Here is a 21,786-nt window from a genome sequence, read left to right on the forward strand (position 1 = left end):
GTCTAAAGAAGGGTCCTGGATAGGGACTTTAGGAGCCCAGACCGGATGGTCACTGGAGAGGGACCCTTTTGTCATTATGTAGACTGGCCACACGATGGCTCCCTGGGACCGTCAAGCACCTGCCCAGTCTCTTCAGTGGGCCTCTGGTCGCCCTGGTGATTATTCTTTCCCTTAAATGTTCCACACGCACCTCTTCCTTATCTCTGTAGCTGGGCAGCCAACTTCTGGGTTTCCTGCTCACCCTGGGTAGAGAGATCCCAGTCACTGGGGCTTGCGTTAGAGAGGAGTGGAGTGGGGAGAAGAGCAGGAGGGGAGCAGAAAGAGAAGTGAGGGGCTTGCCAGGGGGCTAGTGGCTGAGCAGCTGTAGGAAGGGACTTCGTGGAGTTACTGATGGGCTCAGCCACCAGGAGCTGGGCTCTGGGGAATCTTTAGGAGTGAGAAACAGAGCCTGGATGTCCATTCCAGGGCCCCAAACACAAGGCTCACTTCCTGGAAGCATGAGGACTGGAGGTGACACAGAAAAGGCTGGCGTGAACTTCCAGACACCTGAGGAGCAAGAGCTCAGAGTTCCAGCTGGAGGTGGCCCGGACTGCAGACTTGGCCATGGCCAGTGGTGGCCCTTCCCGGACATGGCTTGGAGCTGATGGAGCTGCTGTTTGGGACAGCAGGATGTGGCTTGACTCGGGCACTGAAAAACAAGGCTGGCTTTTATGAAAAACAAACAAAAACTCAGGTGACCAGAGTTTCACGCATGCTCAGAAAGCAGTGGCAAGTTAGGATTATAATAATAATGTTATAACAATAATAATGTTATAACAATAATAATGACAGTAGCAAATAACCATCTTTTTGAGGATTTATGGAACATGTCAGACACTGCTTTTTTTTACATGGGTTGTTTTGTTTACATGGATTACCCCATAGGGGAGGTAATAGAAGGGGATTTATAATGACAGTCAAACCTGAAAAGGAGACACTTTGTTTTAGCACAACAAGACCCAGGGTACCTGCAGGCTGGAGTGTGGCTTTCTCATGGGCTCCAGGTGATTGCAGGGATGGAGAGAGAAACTCGTCCATTTCACTTGCAGGGTACACAGGGACTTGCCATCACAACCTTTTTCATTTCCAACCATTTTCTTCCTGTTGGAAGGAATATTCCTCAGCTGAAGTTGGATCTGATTTAATAAGGCAATAACCAGAGAAATGCATTTCAATTGATTATTAAGCATTTGTTTATTAGGACTCAGTAGCTCTGACCCAAATAGCTGCTAAGCAGTCATTAAACATCAAAGAAGATGTTTCTGTTTATATATTTTGTTTATTTACCGTCATGAACAAACATTATTGCATCAATTAAATGTCGATTAGGGGGTCTATGGTTTGAATTAGATTATACACATAGTGTCAAATCATTTTCGTGTCTCTTTCTGAGATATAATCTATTTTTGTTTTAGTATCTAAAAGGATTCCATCTAAGTGTTAGAAGCTGTGGCCGGCAGGGGTTACGGGGTGGCTTCTGAGCACTTCTAAAGCTGATGTTTCCTTTTTTGGAGTTTGCAGCCTGGATCCCTGTGACAGCCTGGAACTCCTGATCCATTCCTCATTGATCATTCATGAAGGGGCCATTTCTCTGCGATTCTTTGCTTTTTTGGGCATTAATTTTCTAGAAAACAAAACAACACAACAATAACTCTAACCTCCATCATAAAACCCTTAGATATTTATCTCCAAGGCAGCTAAACTGAGTTGTGGAAATGAAATTAAGTTCTCCATTAATGCTGCTTCAATTAAGCAGCATTGAAATCAGGAATGGTGTGCTTGAAAGAATATATGATTTTCCTAGTCACAGTCTAGAAGCATTGAAATAACATATCTTAATATATTTTTATTCAAAAAAATTGGATAATTTTCTAATTATATGAGACAACTATGTGTATTTATAAAATCACATATAAACCTGAGCTTAATTTTTTTTAAATTGATAAAATTATATATATTTATCATGTACAACATGATATGTATACATTGTGGAATGGTGAAGTTGAGTTAGCATCCTGGCTTTTTAAGTCAGAGGAGAGGGGACCCGCAGGAGGACCCTGGCTGAATTGGGCCCCATCAGACCCAGAATGGAACCCCCCCGGTCCCCAGAATTTGTCCTCCTGTTGTACTCAGTGCGTTGGTGGAAGCAGAACTCCCCATGGGAACAGGCAGACCTAGATTTTCTGGGGTGGGAGGGGAAGGTAAAGGTGCAACAAATTGAGATTTCTCCCTGCCCTAACTCCCAACCCAGCCCAGAAAAGAACTTTGAGTGAGGCCAGCAGTGGGGAGGCTGAGCTCTGGCAGCCTCAGGGGTCAGTCCTGCAGGGTAGCGTGCGGGGATCTGGCTCTAGCCACATGGGGGCTGGCATGGATGCCATGAGGCTCAGCTACCCCTCTCCTTCCACCTTGTTCTTTCTGGGCAGGGGCAGCCCTCCAGATCCCAGTCAGGGTTTATCCAGGGGTAAAGGAGAGAAAGAAAGGTGAGAGTGAAGAGGAGAGTCCAGGTGAGTGAGGGAACAGCTTGAAGAGGCCAGCCATTTGCATATTAAAGAGCCTCTCGGCTGGATGTGGTGGCTCACGCCTGTAATCCCAACACTTTGGGAGGCTGAGGTGGGTGGATCACGAGGTCAGGAGATGGAGACCATCCTGGCCAACATGGTGAAACCCCATCTCTACTAAAAATACAAAAATTAGCTGGGTGTGGTGGCACACACCTGCAATCCCAGCTACTCAGGAGGCTGAGGCAGGAGAATTGCTTGAACCCAGGAAGCAGAGATTGTAGTGAACTGTGATCAAGCCACTGCACTCCAGCCTGGGCAACAGAGCAAGACTCCATCTCATTTAAAAAAAAAAAAAGGCACCTCAAGTTCTCTAACGCTTCTAGCCCAGAAGTTTTCAAACTTTCTTTTAAATCAATGGAACTGTTTTATCAAGTGACATCTTATTTCAGTGAAAGTGTAGTATATATGAAGTTTAAACACAGTTGAAGTGGTCAGTGCAGGGTGCCTCTCACTTGCCCCCTAAGCACTCCCTGCCATGGTACCCAGAGGCGTTTCTGCAGAAATCCTCTTACTTTGTAGACGTGCTTTGAAAACCACTGCATTAGTACACTGGACAGCCCTGTCCTTAAAAGCTAGTCGCCAGCCCAGCATGGACAACAGAAGAATCCCTGGGAATGAGACCTTCTCAAAGTCCCAGGCCCACCTATGAACATTCAGATTTCCTAGATCTGGATTTCACCCAAGAATGTACTTTTAACGAGAGCCCCAAATGATTCTAACCCAGTAGGCTAGGCTGGAACTAGGGTGAGGCCAGCAAGTGCTTGGAACTGCACTTACACGGCCTTGAGAGTGAAGCCTCCTGAAATTTTATACTGTAGGCCCCTCACTGGCCTCACTCTGGTTCTGGCCCAGGTACTAACCATGTGAAAACCAACACCCAGCTACACTCTGGGGTTTGGCTGCATACAGAAGTGCTCAGATGGGGCTTGAAAGAATGAATGAAAGCCATAGAGATCTGCCTCCTGGTGTCCCATGGGACAGACAGCAAAGAAAACAGGTTGTAGGCAATATTCATAGTCATTTTTATTACTGCTATTGTTAGGAATTTATTTTTTGATGCTTGTAAGGTACAAGACACAGTGGGAAACAATTTATAAACATTCTCATCTTTCACCTTTGCATCAGCCATGTAATAGTTCAATTTGTAAATGGGGAAACGAAAGCTTTGAAAGGTGAAAGTCTCGTCCAAATTCACACTGCTAGTCGTGATGCCTAATATTCTCCATGGCTTGAGCTCTTTACCTTTCTGCTGTACTGAGGATAGGTATACGGCCCTTCCTTAGCATGGGGGATGATGTTCCTAAATGACCCTCACTAATATAATAGCATCCATTATGGACTGTAGTCACTGTGTATGTTTGCCCAGCAAGCATCCTCATCTGCTTCTCTGAAGCAAATCTCACTCCCACCCTGGCCACAGGATCACTTGATCCAGGTCTGGCCAATCAGAATCCTCCATTGCCCTAGACCGTGATTAGTCTGGGAGTAGACACGGGGTCTAAGTCAGACCAATCAGATGCCTCCCCAGGATTTCCAGTTAGGAGCTGGAGAAGCTGACTTGCCTCTGGGGTCACTGATCTGGAAGGAGGTGAGGGGTTGCTCACAGCCAGAGCTCTAGGAGAGAACAAAGAAGAGGAAGCTGGTGACCCAGTCTTGTTGGCAGGTCCTTCTTCAGTTCTATGAGGTGCCTGAGCATGTATTGCTGTCAGCTGTGGCAGAAAATAGTTTTCATTTTTTACTTTAGGCTAGTTTGAGTTAGTTTTCTGTCACTTGCAACCAAAGAATCCTGATGAATTCAGCATCCAACATTAACATCACAGTCCCTCTACTCTGAGCCCTGTCTGAACCACCCGCCATCCCGCTGGCATTTCACAGTGGTGTTTGTGCCTCCTTTCTCCTCCCCTGCAGTTCATGCCTTTTCACAGATTGGCTGAGGATTCTCTGAACACTATTCACTCCCAGAAAGTTCCCAACACCACCTGAATGCATTTATCTTTTAAAAATTATGGTAGAATACACACACAACATTTATCATCTTAACCACTTTTAAGTATATTTCAGTGGTATTAAGTTTATTCATACTGTTATGCAAATCATCACCAAATCCTCATCCATCTCCAAAATTCATTTCATCTTACAAAACTAAAGCTCTGTACCCATTAAACAATAACTCCCATCCCCTGCCTACCCTCCTCTCTCCAGCCCCTGGTTACTACCATTCTAGTTTCTATCTGTGTAAATTTGACCATTCTAAGCAACTCATATAAGTGGAATCATATAATATTTGTCCTTTGGTGACTGGCTTATCTCACTTAACATAATGTCCCCAAGGTTTGTCCATGTTGTAACATGTATCAGAATTTCCTTCTTTTTTAAGGCTAAATAATGTTCCATTGTATGTATATACCATATTTTGTTTATCCATTGATAAACACTTGGATTGCTTCTGTGTGATAGCTATTGTCAATAATGCTGCAGTGAACATGGGTGTGCAGATATCTCTTTGGCATACTGATTGAAATTACTTCGGCTGTATATCCAGAAATGGGATTGCTAGATCATGTGGTAATTCTAGTTTTAATTTTTTGAGGAACTGCCATACTGTTTTCCACAGTGACTATGCCATTTTACATATTTTACATTCCCACCAACAGTGTATGAGGGTTCTAATTTCTCCACATCCTCACTAATGCCTTTTTTTTTTTTTTTTTTTTTTTTGCTAGTAGACATCCTGATGGGTGTGAGGTAGTCCTAATGCATTCTTAGTAATGACAATTGTATCAGTTTTGCTCCATAAAAACTACTTTAAAATCAGAGGCTTAAAACAACCACTATTTACTCAGGTCATGATTCTCTTGAGTTAGGAATATGGACTGAGCTCAGCTGAGTGGCTCTTCTGGTCTTGGCCAGACTTACCCATGTGTCTAGGGCAAGCTTTGTGTTGACTTGTCTAGGAAGACTTCAGCTGGGATGACTCATTGGTGCTTCATGCCATCTCTCACCAGAAAGCCAGGCTTGCTCACATGAAGGCTGGGCAGAGTTCCAAGAGAACAAACTAAAGCATTCAGTGGAAGTGGCACAACATTACTTCCTCTGAATTCCACTGGTCAAAGCAAATCACCAGGCCAGCCCAGATTTAAAGTGTGGGGAAATCTCTGTCTCTTGATAGGAGGGTCTGCAAAGGCAAATTGCAAAGGGATGTGGATATGAGAAGTGAATAATTACAACCAATTTTTTTTTTTTTTGCAAAATCTAGCATAACAACTTTTCAACAAGCTTTCATGTCAGACAGAAGGAATTTGCATTTGAGATTTGCTCCAATGGGCTCACCCAATTCATGAGTTTCAAAGGCTGTGGTTCACACCTGCAAAACTAGACTATGCTGGGAATTGTGGAATCAAGGCTAATGCCTGATAATTTCAAATGAGAATTTTTTCCTTCTAAAATCAGTGGATATTTCTGAATAAATTGTTCTTTCAGTCACGAATCATGGAGGCAAGAGCTTCAATTCTCCATTCATTTGCCATAAGCAGTTGACTCAAGGACAGCTCTGACTGTCTAGCCCTGTCTATTAATGAGTGCCATTATACAATTAACTTTTCCATCACCTTTAGAAGATGCCAAGCCAGACTCCTCCTCAAAGCCCACAGTGAACAGGGGAGCCTCCACGGAGCTCCATAGCCTGCTTAGATGTTCAGAAAGTAAAAACCAACTGAAAGTGAAAGACTTCTAAAGCTCAGAGCTTTCCCAGTAACTGGACTAATGGAGAGTACAGCCAGATCCAAATGGTTGGAACTGTTGCCAGGGAAGTAAAGGGAAGTAGGTACCTCCAAGCATTTTATTAACCTGGTAAATCAGTCCCTGGAAGCCCACTGGGAAGGTTTGGAGCAAGTTTCCTACTTCGTTATTTTAGTCACTGCTACTGTAATGCTGCATAACAAAACACCTCAAAGTCAGTGGTAAACAACAAGCATTTATTTTTCTTTCTTATGGGTCTGTGGGTTGGCTGGGGTTCAGGGGATTTTGGCTGGGCCAGGCTGGACTCCAGGGAGGATGTGGGATTCAGATCTGTTCCACAGAGCTTTGTTCTCCTTGGAGCAGTGGCTCTCCAGAGCATGAGCTTCCCATGGAGAATAGGAGGAGCTCAGAGGGCAAGTAAACCATCTGTGCCCACATGAGGCTTCTGCCTGGTCATGCGTACTATCATCCTATCAGCCAGTGTGAGTCACGTGGCCAAGCAAAACATCCATGGGGGTAGAGACATAAGCTTCTCTCCCAGTGGGAGAGCAGTGCAAGCACTGCAAGTTACGTGGCAAAAGTTGAGATGTATAATCTTAGTATGGTGGAGTAAGAATTGAGACTGAAAACAGAATCTACCATATTTACCCAGAGGGGGTTGGAGGTTGAGGTATTGAGGTTAAACCTATGTTGTGTGCAAGTGAAGTTTTGTATTTATCTAGGAATGTCTGAAAGATGGCTGGGCTGAATCAGCAGGGGCTATTGAAATGAGGAACTGAGGATTCTTAGGAGAGTGAGCTCCTTTGGGGTAATAGAGAACTGGGCCAAGGAGCTTATCCAAATAACACAATCCCAGTCCTTGAAGAGAGGGGCATTTCTGAGTACTCCATGATGGAAGTCTCTGTTTTTTTTCCCTGTATGACCCCTATCCCCACCATTGACTCATGACTGGTCCCTGGGGAGAGTTGATTATTCCAATAAAACATTGCGAGATGTTGGGGCCTAAGCACCATTGCTATGAGTCCCTTCTGGGGGAATTAAACATGGAAGAGGGTTTTTTTTTTCCCCCCAAATCACAATTCTTCACCTTGGGGCTTTGAACCCCTGTGGCCCTAGACATCTGCAGTGACTGTGGCTGGCAGCGGGTAGGAGGTGGCATACTCAGTGGTGGCAGAAGCGGTGTCCAAGAGAAGCAATTGTACCAGGGGAAGCAATATTGGTGCCCACCTATCAGGAATGGCAGGGATCTGGACAGGTAGGGAGAGGCAAGATTGAGGAACAGGGAAGGGTGTCCTGCTTGGAGATGTGGCCTGTACCCTGGGCACACTCCAGGCTCAGCACACTCTCTAGCACATGCAGTGGTCCCAGCCATATTCAGGCTAAGGCATAATGCTTAGGCAGCCCTTCTATACTTCAGGAATGTGATGGGTTCATTTATTCCTATCAGGCCATGACAGGGTTTGCAAACAACCTTTTTAACACTGTTCCTTTGTTCATTAAGTATCAAGTACCTTCTCTGTGCTAGGTACTATGTAAGGGATGGTTGAATAGGAAACATTTTCTGCTTTGCAAAGCTCTTCCTCTTAGTGCAAAGTTGGGTAAACTATTTCCTGTGGGCCAAATATGACCCACCATCTGTTTTTGTAAATAAAGTTTTATTGGAATGCAGCCATGCTCATTTGTTTACATATTGTCTATAGCTATTTTAACACTATGATGGCAGCACTGAGTAGTTGTGACAGAGACTCTATGGCCCGTACTGCCTAAACTATTTACTATTGGCTTGTTGTAGAAAAAGTTTGCCAGTCTGTTGTCTAGTGGAAAAGAGAAACATAAACAGATGAACAGATAAATAGGCAATGACAATGTAGCGTGACAATACTGTGACAGAAGTAAGTGCTTGGCTTTGGTGGGAAGTAGGATCAGGGAAGGCTTCCTGGAGTAGGCAATGTCTATACCAAGACCTAAATAGTGAGTTCAGAAATTTTGGCAAAGGTGTGGGGAGAGATTGCCAACAGAGGAAAGCATGAACAGAGGCCAGAGGTAAGAGAGAACATGGGGTTTTGGGTGGTGGGAGCTGAGAGAAGAGGCTGGGAAGAGTGCTGGTAGCATGTTGGGCATCTCGTCGCCATTCAGGAAGGTGGCATCCATCAGCGGTGGGCTGTGCTTGGCACTGTGCTATTGATATGAATGTGTTCTCAATTCCTTCTAGGACTGGATTTTAATATTTCTACTTTACAGATGTGAAATGAACATGGCAATAAAGGAGCTGGAATTTCTGGAGGCAGGGATTTTCTGGATGGACGATTCACGTGTGTTTGCCACATCCTATGAGTGCTGGGATGGGTTGTGGTTAGAATGGTGGGGGTGTAGCCTGGCCTTGCCTCATTAACTTGTGGTCCCTGTGCTATGCATTTCAAGACTTGTTCCAGTCCCAGAGTGTCCTGTGCCCACACTCAGCCTCCTACTGGGGCCCCCACCTAAGACAGGGCTCCTTGAGTTGTGGGTTGAGCTCCATGTCTGGTTCTTCCTCCTTTTCCCATCAAACCTGTGCCTTTTGCTCTCAGGCTCCAACAGGACCTGCAAATCCACACTTGGGGCAAAGCTCCATGACTCAGGGCAGCTACCCTTTAATGCTTAGTGTGAGGCGCAAGCATCATCCTGCCCCTTCTTGTGCTCAGAGCAGACTTGCTAAGGGATCACCAAACCTTCCCATTGAATCCAGACACAGCCTCAGAATCCTGCTCAACACAGCCCTCCACTGATCACCCAGCATACTTGCCATCCTTTCCTTAACCCAGAGGGAAAGCTTGAGCTCACGCAGTACTTTCTGCACAAACCTAGTCACTGCTCGCAGGTAGCCAGCCTTTTTGTCAACTCTGATTTTGACCCGGGACTCAACACAATTCAACAAATGTTCACCGAGAATCCACTAAGTGTCAAGGAGCAGAGATGAATAAACATGGTCTCAATGCCCTAAGGAGCTCACATTCTGATGAGAGACGTTATTGACTTGAGCAACCACTGAAGTGGCAGCCTTTCTCTGCTTTTTCTCAGGGTTGTGCTGACCGCACGCCCTGCAGAACTGGACTCAGGCTTCCCCATCTGAGATGTGGCTATGCCTGGGTGGGGCTGCGTGGCTAGGACTTCTGCATCTCAGACCAGAGGGCAGAAGATGCAGATGAGGAGGGGGAGAGGACCCCACTGGAATGGCAGCAGCTCAAAGTAAAGGATGAGGTCAGGTTTGCACCAGGTTAGGATCAATGAACAGTGAGCCTGGCCTGAGCAGTGGGTACAGCACTAGGGTTTCTGGAATCTTCAGATAAGCTGGTACACTTTGGGACTCTGGCCACCCATTCTCTCCAGGCCCAGTGGGGGAAAGAGCTGACAAGCACAAAGCTACAGTATCAGGACCTCAGCCTCCAAAGCAGAAACAGAGCAAGAAGGAAACTGAGGCAGGGGAGTAGCCAGCCCGACTCCACAGCAGGATTGGGCACACATGCATCAGGAGTCGTGCAGATCACCAGGCTTAGGAAGACAGCAGCTCTAGGAGGCTTGAGGGCTGATTTTTCTGATCTACTGCACCCTGACCAGCACTGGTTTAGGGACGCTGGAGAGTGGGTTCTCCCCATGTTAGGACTCAGTGTGAGAGCTGCTTATGACTTTGCCAGGTTTTTTCTTTAGCCGCTGAGACATCTCTCCACCCCAGGATCTGGCAATCACATCAATCCCAAAAGGGGCACCTAAAGCCTTCAACTATTTGCCTTTCTATGGAGATTTCCAGAATCTACTCAGTTGATGCCATAAATAGGTAGAGAAGGGAGTGTGTGTGTGTCTGTCTCAGTCTATGAACACACACACACACACACACACACACACACACACACACGGAGTCAGACCTCCTTCATCAGAATCAGTTTGCAAACTTCATTTCCTTAGGATGAAGAGAAAAGAAAATTATTATTAACATATCAATGGCACCTCCATGCTGAGAACAAGATTACCCTCAGTACACACAAGCGCCCAGGGAAGCTCAGACACTGTATTTTAAATGTGCTCTGTTTCTGCATCTCCGTCTCCCCCACCCCACCCCCATTCCCTTCCTATTTTTTTTTTTTGTTCCTCTAAGCTTGTTTCTCTTGAAATTTCCACCTTGTGGTTGTGTACTGCTGACTTCACATTTGCTGTGGTGTGAACTCCACATCTGTGAATGGATGACAGGAAAGATTAATAGCCCTGCTCTCTTCTCCTTGACTGTGGGCCCAGCTAATGAATAAATAAATAAATAAATAAGCAGAGCTCCAATCCCCTAAATAGAGACCCAGAGCCAGGGAGAAAACAGCATTTCGCTGAATCCATTCTTTAAGGAAAAACCCAACCTCTAATGATCTCTGATTTACATAGTCGGCAGTTTTTCACTAAACATTTTACAAAGACACAAAAGTGTGGGGTGGAGGGATCGCTCCATGTTCTTTCCAGATGGAGGCAGGGGTCCCCCTGAGAAGCCCACAGGCCAAACAGGGCTGGTGCAGAGTGTGGGCTAGCTATGGAGGTGAGCCGGTTTCCCACTCAGGCCGCCTTAGGCCTGGGATCATTGAGTCGAGCGATGATGAAGAGGGAGGCAAAGGGACCCCTCAGGGGTCCCGGTAGTTGGTCCCCACACTTACCAGGTGGGAGGAAGGTGTGGGCTCACCAGGCAGCTCAGAAAGCCTACGAGTGTAAGGGGAGGGAGGCAGGGAGATAATTCATTTCCTCCTGCTTCCTTCATGCCTCCAGTTCTGGTGAAAGAGAAGCTCAGATATGCGCAGACAGAGCTTCTCAAACTTGAATGTGCCCTAATGACCTGGAGATCTGGTTGGAATGCAGATTCTGATCAGTGGGTATAGGGTGGGGCTGAGACTGGCCAATTCCATTAAGCCTGCAGGCGCTGCTGCTGCTGCTCCAGGGGTCACACTTAGAGTAGCAAGATGTTGCAGAGGCAGCAGAAAGTCAGGTTCTGCCCCCTCCTCTGTGGCCCTTGTCTGAGGCTTCACAACAGTCATCCCTTTCCTGCCAGCCCCAGAACTTGGCTGTTACCTGGTTTTCCAACCTCAGCTGACTCCATGGGTCTAATATCCCAAGGTACCTCAGCCAAATGCAGCATACACATCCTCTCTGGACCAGGCTTGGAGAATTTGGCTTTCCCTTGGCTGTGTTTGTAAAGTATGGTTGTTCCTACCTGGTCTCTGCATCTTTAATAAAGTCCATCATTGGATATGAAGATGCTGTGCCTGGGTGACCTGGTTGAGGGGCAGGTGGGCTCAGTGGCAGCAAAGACATCTGTAGGCTCTGATTGGGCTGAGCAAGAGCTAGGGGTCAAAGGCAGTGGATGCTGGAGGGGCAGCGAGGGGCTTCCCTGCACAGCCAGGAGTTTGAGGGGCCTGAAGGCACACACACCAGCCATCGATCTTAACCTGCTCACTTCTAGTACCCATCAGCTCACTTCACTCCTTTTGATGATGAAGCAGAGATGAGACTAGTCCAGCAGAAACCAGGACAGGAAGCCCCACAATGCCAGCCATGCCCCTCCATTATGATCCCCCTGGCTCAGCGTTCAGGTGGACAGTCTCAGGTGTGGTCACATGGGGATGAAGGGAGCAGACAAGTTAGGGAGCCAAGCTGACCCAAGCCCTGACATTCTGTTCTTCCTCATGATTAGCCCGGTTGTCAAACTCATCCTGGCCCTCAAATTCCAGCCGTGAGTCAGCCTATGAAAGCCCCAAGGCAAGTTTATGATTCACCTGAGTGTAGCTCATCTTCTCTCTGGATAATCCTCAGATGACCCCCACCCAGCCAGGGGGAGCTGCCTTTATCATCCCATGGGCAGGATTAGCCCTGCACATCCAACCACCATTTATTTGTCGAACCTGTATTTGTTCACCTGTGAAACGGGTGAAACGGGGACCCCAATACCTTCTTCACGGAGTGGGGAAGGTAGAGGAGCCAACCCTCAAAAGCACCCAGGTCAGGGTCTCAGTCCACTGTAAACATCCCCCAACCCTGGTAGCAATCATGCCTTTGCATTGCCTTCTCTTTCCGGCTGTCTTCTAGCTCATCACTTCCAGGTGTGCTTCATGAAACAAATCTCATGAGATATTCACACAGAAAAATCTGTAACAAAAAATTGGGAAAATTGCATAATATTCCTTTCTTGAAGAGTTAGTCTAACTTTACTTGATTCTGCTTGACTCAAACTTGTTTGGCCATAGAACCTTTTTCTTGGGCATAACATTTATTAATAACTGGGGTGTCAGGAGATGGGAGCCAGCTGACATGCTTCTTCTCCAAAGCCTTAACCCAGAAGGTATGCCTAGTGGCATCTGGGTAGATCTGGCCAGCTGGGGAGGCTGGGTTTTGTGGATGCAGGTTTTCCCCACTCTAGTCCTAAGCTGTAGGCATCTTTCTCCCATGCCTATCTCTTGAGTATTCTGACACGCTAACTCCCTGGGGCTTTAGCTCCCAGCACCTGGGCAGATTAGGCTGTTCCCTTGCGGAGAAAGGTGAGAATTTAAACTTGGAGCCACCCAGACAAGCTTAACCAGAGCCCCTTGCTTTGTACAACTCAGGGGTTAATGCAGTGTCACAGCCCAACCCAGGTCATGCCTACTGAGACTGATGTTTGTGGCCTGCCCATAGCCCCTTAGCATTTATTGTTGCAGGAGGTGCACACTGGCATTCCATTGTAAGCATTTGTGACTCTGCAAGAGATATTTTTCTCTGTTTCTGGGGAATGCTGGACGTGCAGACAATTAATGCCCCTGGGAGGAGCCCTCACCCACTACCTGATGGGGTGTATTAGTTTCCTGTGGCTGCTATAACAAAATATCACAGACATGATGGCTTAAAACAACAAAAATTTATTCTCTCTAAGTCTGGAGGACAGAAATCCAAAATCAATATTACTGGGCAGAAAGCAAGATATTAGAAGGACCATGCTCCACCTGGAGGCTCTAGGGGAAAGTCTGATCCTTGCCTCTTCTAGCTTCTGGTGGCTGCTGGCATTCCTTGACTCATGGCCACATCACTCCAATCTCTGCCTCCGTGGTCATGTTGCCTTCTCCCTTCTGTTTGTGTCAAATTTTGCTCCGCTTCCCTCTTATAAGGATACTTGTGATTGCATTTAGGGTCCACCTGGATAATTCAGGAAAATTTTCACATCTCAAAGTCCTTAATTACATCTGTAAAATCCTTTTTTTTTTTTTTTTTTTTTTTGCCATATAAGGTCACATTCGCTGGTTCTAGGGATCAGAATATGATATCATTGGAGGCCATTGTCCAGCCTGATATGTAAAAGGTTGGAGGGTAAATACTCCAATTTCCTTGCCTCTTGGGTAAGGTAACACCGAGAGCTGTTCTACACTCTCCTCTCTCCTAAAATTCCTCAGAGAGATTGAGCCTCAGTTGTCCATGGCAACAAACTACTCAGCAACACACTCTGTTGCTTTTCTTTCCTTCCTGTCTCACTTCTCCACTCTTCTAACTGTTGATTCCTGGGATTGCCTCTAAATAAACTACTTGGCCTTGAATCCTCCTCTCAGGGTCTGCTTCTGGGGAACCCAGCCTAAGAAACCCATCTATCACCAACCATGCACAGCAAAGGCAATCACTTTAATCGATTACCCTTTGGATTCACAAAGTCTGGGTGGATGTGCCCTGTAGACACAATGTTTGCAGTTGTGAGTGAGGTAGCTGGGCCAGCAACCCCCCAGACTACAGTGTTGTAACCACCTCCTCTCAAAGAAGATTTAATCCAGCAGAGGGATGTCTTCCCATCTGTGTCTATCTTGACATCCACAGTGAAGCAGAAATCTTGATGGGACGTGAAGAACACCATGGTCACCACAGTCTTTTTTGATTCAGAGATTTGACCTTCTCCAGACTTTGGAGAAAGAGAAGCCCTGGTTAAGCCAAACAGCTTACAGGGGCTGCTAAATCTGATGACTGCTTAGCAGAAAAAAATATCACACGGTGGAAGGACATAGAACCGAATGAATGTCCAGAGGTGCTGTCCAGGAGCCAGGGACTAGAGTCAAAAACCTTAGAAGTCTACCTCATGTTCTGTTGTACTGCAGCTGAGCTGGCACTCAAACCATAAGATGCTATCCTTCCCACTCTTCCCTCCCCTTTCCAAAGGCAGAAGAGCCTCACCCTGGGGTCACAGGCACCACAGGCCCATGGAAAGTACTGCCAGACTACTGGAATATTCCCTTAAGGCCCAAGGGCTCTTCAGTCAGCTTGTGATGAATGCTGCCTGGCCTAGGACTTGACCTTCAGGGCAGTGGACTCCTCTCTGGTCCAGGGCAGGTCCAGAAATGCCATCCAAGAGCCAAGTCTTGGAATCGGGGACCCCAACAGCCTGCTTGGTGCTCTACCCACCCTGTGGCTGAGCTGGTTCCTGAAGTGCAAGACAAAGTCCCCTCCCTTTACTTTTCCCTCTGCTTTTCTCAAGCAGGAGTTAAGGACGCTCGATAGCCACCACAGCTGGCAATGTGCTGAGTCTCATCTGAAGCCAGCAAGTCTTGGATTCCCACCCAAGGCCCTCAGTGTAGTACCTGGGTATTGCTGCTGGCTATTCAGGGCCAAAGGGCTCTTCAGCTGGTAGTTATTGAATCCTCCCAGGACTGGGTTCTTCCCTTCAAGGCAGTGGGTTCCCATATGGCCCTGGGTATGTCTAGACATATTGTCTGGGAGCTAGGGCCTGGAAAGGGGGCCTCATTGACTCTGATAGGTGTCCTGTCCTGCTGTGGCTGAGCTGGTATCCAACATGCAAAACGAAGTCCTCCCCACTTTTCCCTCTCCTCTCCTCAAGTGGAAGGAAGGGTGTCTTTTGGATCCACAAGCTCTGTAGCCTGGGGTTAGGGGAGGAGTGATGCCAGTACTCCCTCAACCACCCTGGCTAGTGTCTCAGTAGGTCATATACTCACCCAGTCCACTGGCTCTGGGCCCAGTTCAGCACTAGGACTCACCTAAGAGTTGTAGTCCTTGTGGCCTAGACTGCCCTTCCAATTTAGGGCCCCAGAGCACTTTAGCCTGCAGTGGCGAGGCTTGTGGAAACTCAAGTTGGGATCACTGGGATTGGCAATACATTTCTGGCTAGGGCTGGTTTAGATGCTCCCTCTGTGGGTGGGGTCAGCTAAGTTTGGATCCATTTTTCTTTCTGCTATAATAGGGCAGCACTGAATTCAATGTCTCACAATTGCTGTGATCTCCCTCTCCCCAGTGCACAGTGAGATTCTCCATACCACACTGTCACTGCTGGCGGTTGGGAAAGGGGTGGCATCAATGATTTAAAACTGTTTTTCTTACCTCTTTAGGGCCTTCATCAGCGATGTGAAATTCAAACCAGGTACTGTGAGTGCTCACTTAGTGTTTGGTTCGTATGAAGGTGCTTTTTTTTTTTTTTTTTTTTGTATATAGTTGTTAAATTGGTGTCCTTTTGGGGTGGGAGGAGACAATCGGTGGAGTCTTCTATTCCACTATCTTGCTCTTGTCTATTTTTGTTTTTGTTATTATTGTTTGTCTGTTTATTTGTTAGGCTGTCACAATCTTGGGTCAAGCCTCATTTCTTTTCCCTGGGCCTGTTGTCTTTGTGACTCTAGGCTCTCCTCTCTTCTGAACTTCTATCATAGATCTGGCCATGACAGGACACTCACGAAAGTCCTTTAAGTGATCCTCACTCTTCAGGACAAAGTTCTGATTCGCCGTGAGACTTATGTTGATCTGTCCGGGCCTACCCCTCTGCCTCTCCATGCTCAACTTTCCACCTGCTTGTGTGTTCCCCTAACCTTCGAAGTTCTCTGCACCAGCTGCCATGCTCAAACACAATACCTGTTTATAACTATGTGTTTTTGAACATGTCATTTCCTTTTCTTGGAATAAATGGCCTTACGGACTGAGAAACTTTCATTTGCTTGCCAAGGCCCACATTGGCAGTTATCTACCCTTCCCTGTTGCTCTCATTGCAGTTTGTATATATCCTAGGAATACACTTTGGACAGAAATTATCCATGGATTCCAGATGTCTGGCACCTCCTGGTCCTTTGAGTTCTGGATAAGCTCGGTTGGTGCTCCCATTTTATATCTAAAATTTACCCCAAACCCTCCCAAATTCTCTGCCTCTTCTTCCAAGTGTTATATTTTCAGTGACTCCTCCACCTTGGGCCTACTGCCATCAGAATTTAAGTCTTGATTAAGACTGGAAAACTCAGTCTTTTCTTTGAGGTCCATGAACAACACCACATCTTCCAAGCATTTATGAGTGCACCGAGTGTAGTAGAACTCAAGTGAAGATGTATTTTGGGGATGAGAGGTTAGCACCACAGGGAAATAGTCTCTTCCCTAATAGCCTCCAATCCACTCTACCATCAGGGCTTCAGTCAGTATCACTGGGCACCATTTTTTCTAGCTTTTTGTCTTCTTCCATCTCACCATTTTCCCTCTTTAAACCTCCCTGCCCCCTCTTCTCAGTAACAAATATTCCCCTCCTTGTTATATGCAGAGAAGTTTGCTTGTTTTCCTTTGTTGACTCCTTGCCTCAGTGGCTTATTGAGGCATTTCTATCAAGACAGTCTGCCCCTACTCCCAGGGGTATTCTGGTACTAGCTATTAAGAGATACTCACCTCTGTTACTCTTGGGTGCTTGTCTATCATCACCAAGGGCCTAGGAAGCCCTGGAGGATAGAGAAGATGAAGAGAACTAGCTTCATTCTTGTGGGAATAGTTGTAAGGATGAAATGCAATCTTTTCCTCCTCCTTCTTCTTATTAGATATTGTTATTGTTACTTTTCACTCATCTTCATATTGACTGGGTTGATCACACTTGCCACTGTGTAGAACCAGCTGTTACTGAGGCTGGATGTTCCTCTGGCTTTTGTGGCCTTGCTCACTGACAACTTACCCTCAAGAAGGGGATCAGAGAGCCAAGATGACATGTGTTTGGGAGCAGAAAGCTGGACATGACATCTCTGGCTGTGCAGGATTTGGAAAGACCCTGTCAACATAGGCACTGCCAGGAGCTATTTTGTCTTGTCCTGACTCAGCCCATACATGACAATCTCCCTTGCTCCCTTCGTTTGCCTGACACTTCTGAGCTCCATCTCAGTGCCACACTTTTCTTGTGATCTTCCTCTCCAGCACCTCTGCCCTGAGTCAGGCATTAATAGCTCTTGGAAGTGGGTAACATTTTTATTCCCATTTTAGAGATAGAGAAACTGAGGCCTAGAGATGTTAGTGAAGAGCTGAGACAAACCCAGGCAGTTTAGCTCTGCATTCTCTTCATAAAAGGTAAGACAGGCTGTAATAAAATGGACTGGGCCTTTGGCCCCGAGGAAGGAAGAGTTGTTCACATTTGACCACTGGGGCCAAATGTGTCTGAGTAGAGGAAAACCCCAGGTGTTGTGGTGGTCACTGCCACAGGTGAGTCAGTTGGCAGAGCTGTATTTGGACCCAATTCTCTCCACTCCTTGTCCTATACTCTTTCTAATACACCAACCTGTTTTACTTTTTATTAGGCCATCCCTGGATAAAGTGGAGGGACTTGCCTGGGGTCCCAAGATTTTGCTGTGAGAGGTGAGATTAGAGTAGAGATCTCCTGCATCCTGGTCTAAAACTCTTTCCACCACATTGAGCTGCCTCTGCCCAAGGCTGCGCCCATCTCTTTGCCTGATTTTCATTCTCTGCTTCTGCCTCCCCTATAAGGGCGCTGCAAAGACTCACCAAGACCTTTCCAATCCAGTTGCCATGACTGTTAGTGTTATGCACCTACAGACTTTGTAATTCAGGTTGCAGAGAAGTCAGTGTTTGTCTAACTTTTGGGGCTGAAGAGGACACTGAGGGCTTGTCTGGGGCATGGGGCTGATTGGTCCTATCCAATCATTGCCTACTTGTCCTTTGCCCCATCTCACAAATATGTAATCAAGTGATAGGTCAGGCTGTTATCTGATTATGTTTGTTAAGACCCAGATAATGATTTCTGTTTCTTTCTCTACCTTCACACACACACACACACACACACAAACACACTCTCTCTCTCTCTCTCTCTCTCACTCACTCACTTCTAGGCACCAAAGGGCTGTAGGCTTTGGGGGAAGACCCATGCTTTAGTTCTGGGCCTTCCAATATGATCTGGGATTTTGGAGGGTGGGCGACAGGGAGGCTGAGCTGTCACTTTGAATTGCAAAGCGTCTATTCATAATGCATAAAGAGGCCCCCGCAAGTGGCCATAGCCTCCTGTCGTCCTGCAGCTCAGGGAAATTAGACAGCTTCAGAGCCCCTTATGAAAATGCAATGTATTACCGCTGCTTTTTCACTAGTAAATTATGCATTCGAGAGTGACAAATTCCAAGATGCCGCCTTTATTAGGAACTCAGTGCGGGGTGGGTGGACAGTGCTGGCTGCCAAGCTTGCGACAGAATGTTTAATAACTTTTTCTGACTGTGCTTCCCGGAGGTGGTGTTTATAATACGTATTTCCCTCCTCTCTCATTTTATCAAAACACCGATGCTGAGCTTATTGCTCTATTTATGCATTTGGAACCTCTTCCTGGGTCAAAGAGCATTTGAATGACAAAAGCAACGACAGAGACCGTTTTTTTAACCAATCTGTCTCACATGCCTGTGACCTTGGTGTTCTTGGTTTTTTAAAGATCCATCCATTTGGAGGAGTCAGCTGCTTCCTGAACTTCAGGCCTTGAGGCAGGAGACAGCGTGTACCATCTCCTGCCATTCTGTTGGTAAGTAGAGACCTGTGATGGTACCCAGGATTCAAAAGTCATCTTCCCCGGCGGGAGGCAAGGGAGGCTTATGGAGAACCTCTTAAAGATATTGTGAGCATTCTACTCATTACTTAGGGAAAGACAGCGGGTGTTGGTCCAACTCTGGCTTTTGTGCCAGGTAGGAGTTGGTCCTGAGGCCGCCCATCTGACCATACTGGACCTGTTTTAAGGTTTTTCTCTAAAAAAATTTTAGATTTGTCAATCTGTGCTCCTGCAGGGGATGCTATGTCCAAATGTCCCAGGATTTGTTTTTTTCTGTCTTTCCTGAGACATTCCCTGCCCAGCTACCCAAGGAATCCTTCAAACGAGCAAATCTGACCATATCTTCTATGGTCAGATTAAAATCTTCCATGGCTCCCTATTGCTTATGGGACAAAATCAAAATTCCTGAGTCTGGTCTAAAAGGTGTTTGATGATCTTGACCTGCTGACTTTGCCAGCCTTCTTGTCAGACTCTCGTGTCATGCTCCGCCTAGACTATGAGCCTGCTATTTCATACTATGTAGCTTTGTAAGTCCCAGAAAATGCTGGGCTCTGACTCTTTTATAACTTTACATATACTGTTCCATCTGCCTGGAATGCCTTCTACTTGTCTGTCCAGCAAATTCTCACTCATCTCTTAAGGCCCAGCTTCAGTGCCGCCTCCTATCATAAGTCTTCCTTGATTTCCCAGGCAGAATTAAGTCCCTCTTACCCCATCTACCCATTGTGTTTGTACATACATTCATTATAGCAATAATCATATTAGATTTCAATGATTGGCTTGTCTTTCTCCACACTTTATTTTTAATAGAACACCTAGGTTTTAGTTAATGCTAAACAAACATTTGTTGGTTGTCTGTGTGGCATCTTGGGTTGCCTGACAGACTCTTGGCCAAATCTGTTCATGCATCCAACACATACATACTGAACAACTTTTGCAGACCAGGCACTGCTGGGCCTGACCTTCTGGTTCCATTACTAACATGTTAGCAGTGTCACTTTGAGCAAGTTACTTAACCTCTCTGTGCCTCAGTTTTCTCATCTGTAAAATGGGAATAATGCTTAGCACTTAATTTTTGGCAAGCTAGTGAGAATTAAATGGGATGATGCCTGTCCAGTGTATGAGGGATAGCCTCTATTAGCCCAGGACTGGCACACTGGAAGCACATAATAAATGCTAGCTGCAATAATAATAATAATAATAATAATAATAATAATAGTGCTATTATTATATTATATGCTTATATAGGATCTATTTACAATAATATAAATATAATTATTATTCATGTTACTTGCTCTCCTTGAATTGACTGGGCCTCCAACTTTCCCTGGCTGCCTTGCCCTACACTTCGCAGATGGGACATGGATCATTTTAATTAGATTTTATTGGGCTGTTATATGGGTCATAATTGAGGCCATTATTCATTTTCATGGGGCTGCTGACACAGCCTCAGTTTAGACATGATGCTATCTTGACGAGACAAGTCCCCATCTCAAAGGATCCCTATTTGAGGGGCTGGAGCTGCCACAGGAAAAGAGTCCTTCCGAGGCCCCAAACACAGATTCTGAAGAGATTAATGCCAGGAGTGTTCGTCAGAGAAGAGGAGATTTGTGGGCGACAGTGGCACCCTTCTGTGTGGTTGTTGGGGCCACCCCTGGGGAGTGGGGCATTCATCCACTTGGCTGTGTGTTCCACTCTCACCCCAGGATCTCCAGTGCTCTGGACAGTGTCTGGCACTGAGCAGACACTGGGAAAATGTTTGCTGAGTGAAAGCCACACTTGCAGGTGCTCAGGAAGGTGAAAGCAGTGAGTGTGGCCCAGCACACAGGCCTGGGGCAGCCTCACAGGTTCCAGCTCCTGATTGTGTGCTGTGGACTGTCCCTTGGTTCAGAGCCATGGGACGCGCTCGTGTAGCCCCAGTCAGGGGCTCGTCGAGGGATTGGTATTGGGGAAAAGTCAGTGTAGGACTATAGCTGGGCCTTTCCCATGAGCCTCAACTGTCTGGATCAGTGTGTTCTTAGGCTTGGCCTAGATGGGTTATTGTTCAGGAAAGCTTCACTCACCTCCCTGTGCAGAGTGGTGGAGTCATATTTCCCTGCCCCATTGATGTTGGTCTTGCCTATGTGTTTGCTCATGTGACAGTGAAACATTAGTAGACTTCAAACAAGAAGAAGCTGTGAACACACTTGTGCTATCTGGCTCATGCCCTCCTGCATGCACACTGGCGAACTGCTGTCATGATAAGCATATCCGAATTAGTCCCAGCATGACCATGCATGGAACAGACCTGAACCTTGTTTGTGGTCTGAAGCCAATTCCAGCCAACTTTCAGTGGGAGGCAAAGCCAATCCCTTGACCCCAGCCTAGATGAGCTGAGCCCAGTCCGCCTACAGACCCAGGAGCATGAGAACCAGTACTTGTGGTGGGAAGTCATTGAGTTTTGGCATGCCTGTTGTGCAGCATTAGCGTAGCAGTAGCTGACCAATACAGAGCCCCAGAGCAGCTCCAGTGGAATGTGTTTCATATATTGAGTTTCTATATAAGCATGTTTGAAATAAGAATTTGATTGTTGAAAACAGATTGAAAGCCTCTACAACAGTGGTTTTCAACTGGAGGCAATTTTGTTCTCCAGCGTACATTTGGCAATGTCTGGAG

At 46.4% G+C, this 21,786-nt stretch overlaps 1 long non-coding RNA gene across 1 annotated transcript in view, besides 1 other annotated feature; it reads left to right on the top strand.

Annotated features, from left to right (window-relative positions):
- Positions 64–565: an enhancer, noted in NCBI's record as "H3K4me1 hESC enhancer chr20:37740853-37741354 (GRCh37/hg19 assembly coordinates)". NCBI's record gives its function as "activates a minimal SCP1, AML or CMV promoter by ChIP-STARR-seq in primed H9 embryonic stem cells {active_cell/tissue: H9 hESC(primed)}" and the evidence as "EXISTENCE:reporter gene assay evidence [ECO:0000049][PMID:30033119]".
- LOC107985448 (uncharacterized) overlaps positions 17,886–21,786 on the top strand; it is a 90,007-nt gene continuing 86,106 nt past the window's right edge. Inside the window, exons 1-2 of the long non-coding RNA XR_001754587.1 lie at positions 17,886–17,945; positions 19,021–19,107. This is a non-coding gene — a long non-coding RNA (uncharacterized LOC107985448). The remainder of the gene's footprint in view (positions 17,946–19,020; positions 19,108–21,786) is intronic.

The sequence above is a fragment of the Homo sapiens genome, chromosome 20, assembly GCF_000001405.40.
Source record: "Homo sapiens chromosome 20, GRCh38.p14 Primary Assembly".
Lineage (NCBI taxonomy): Eukaryota > Metazoa > Chordata > Mammalia > Primates > Hominidae > Homo > Homo sapiens.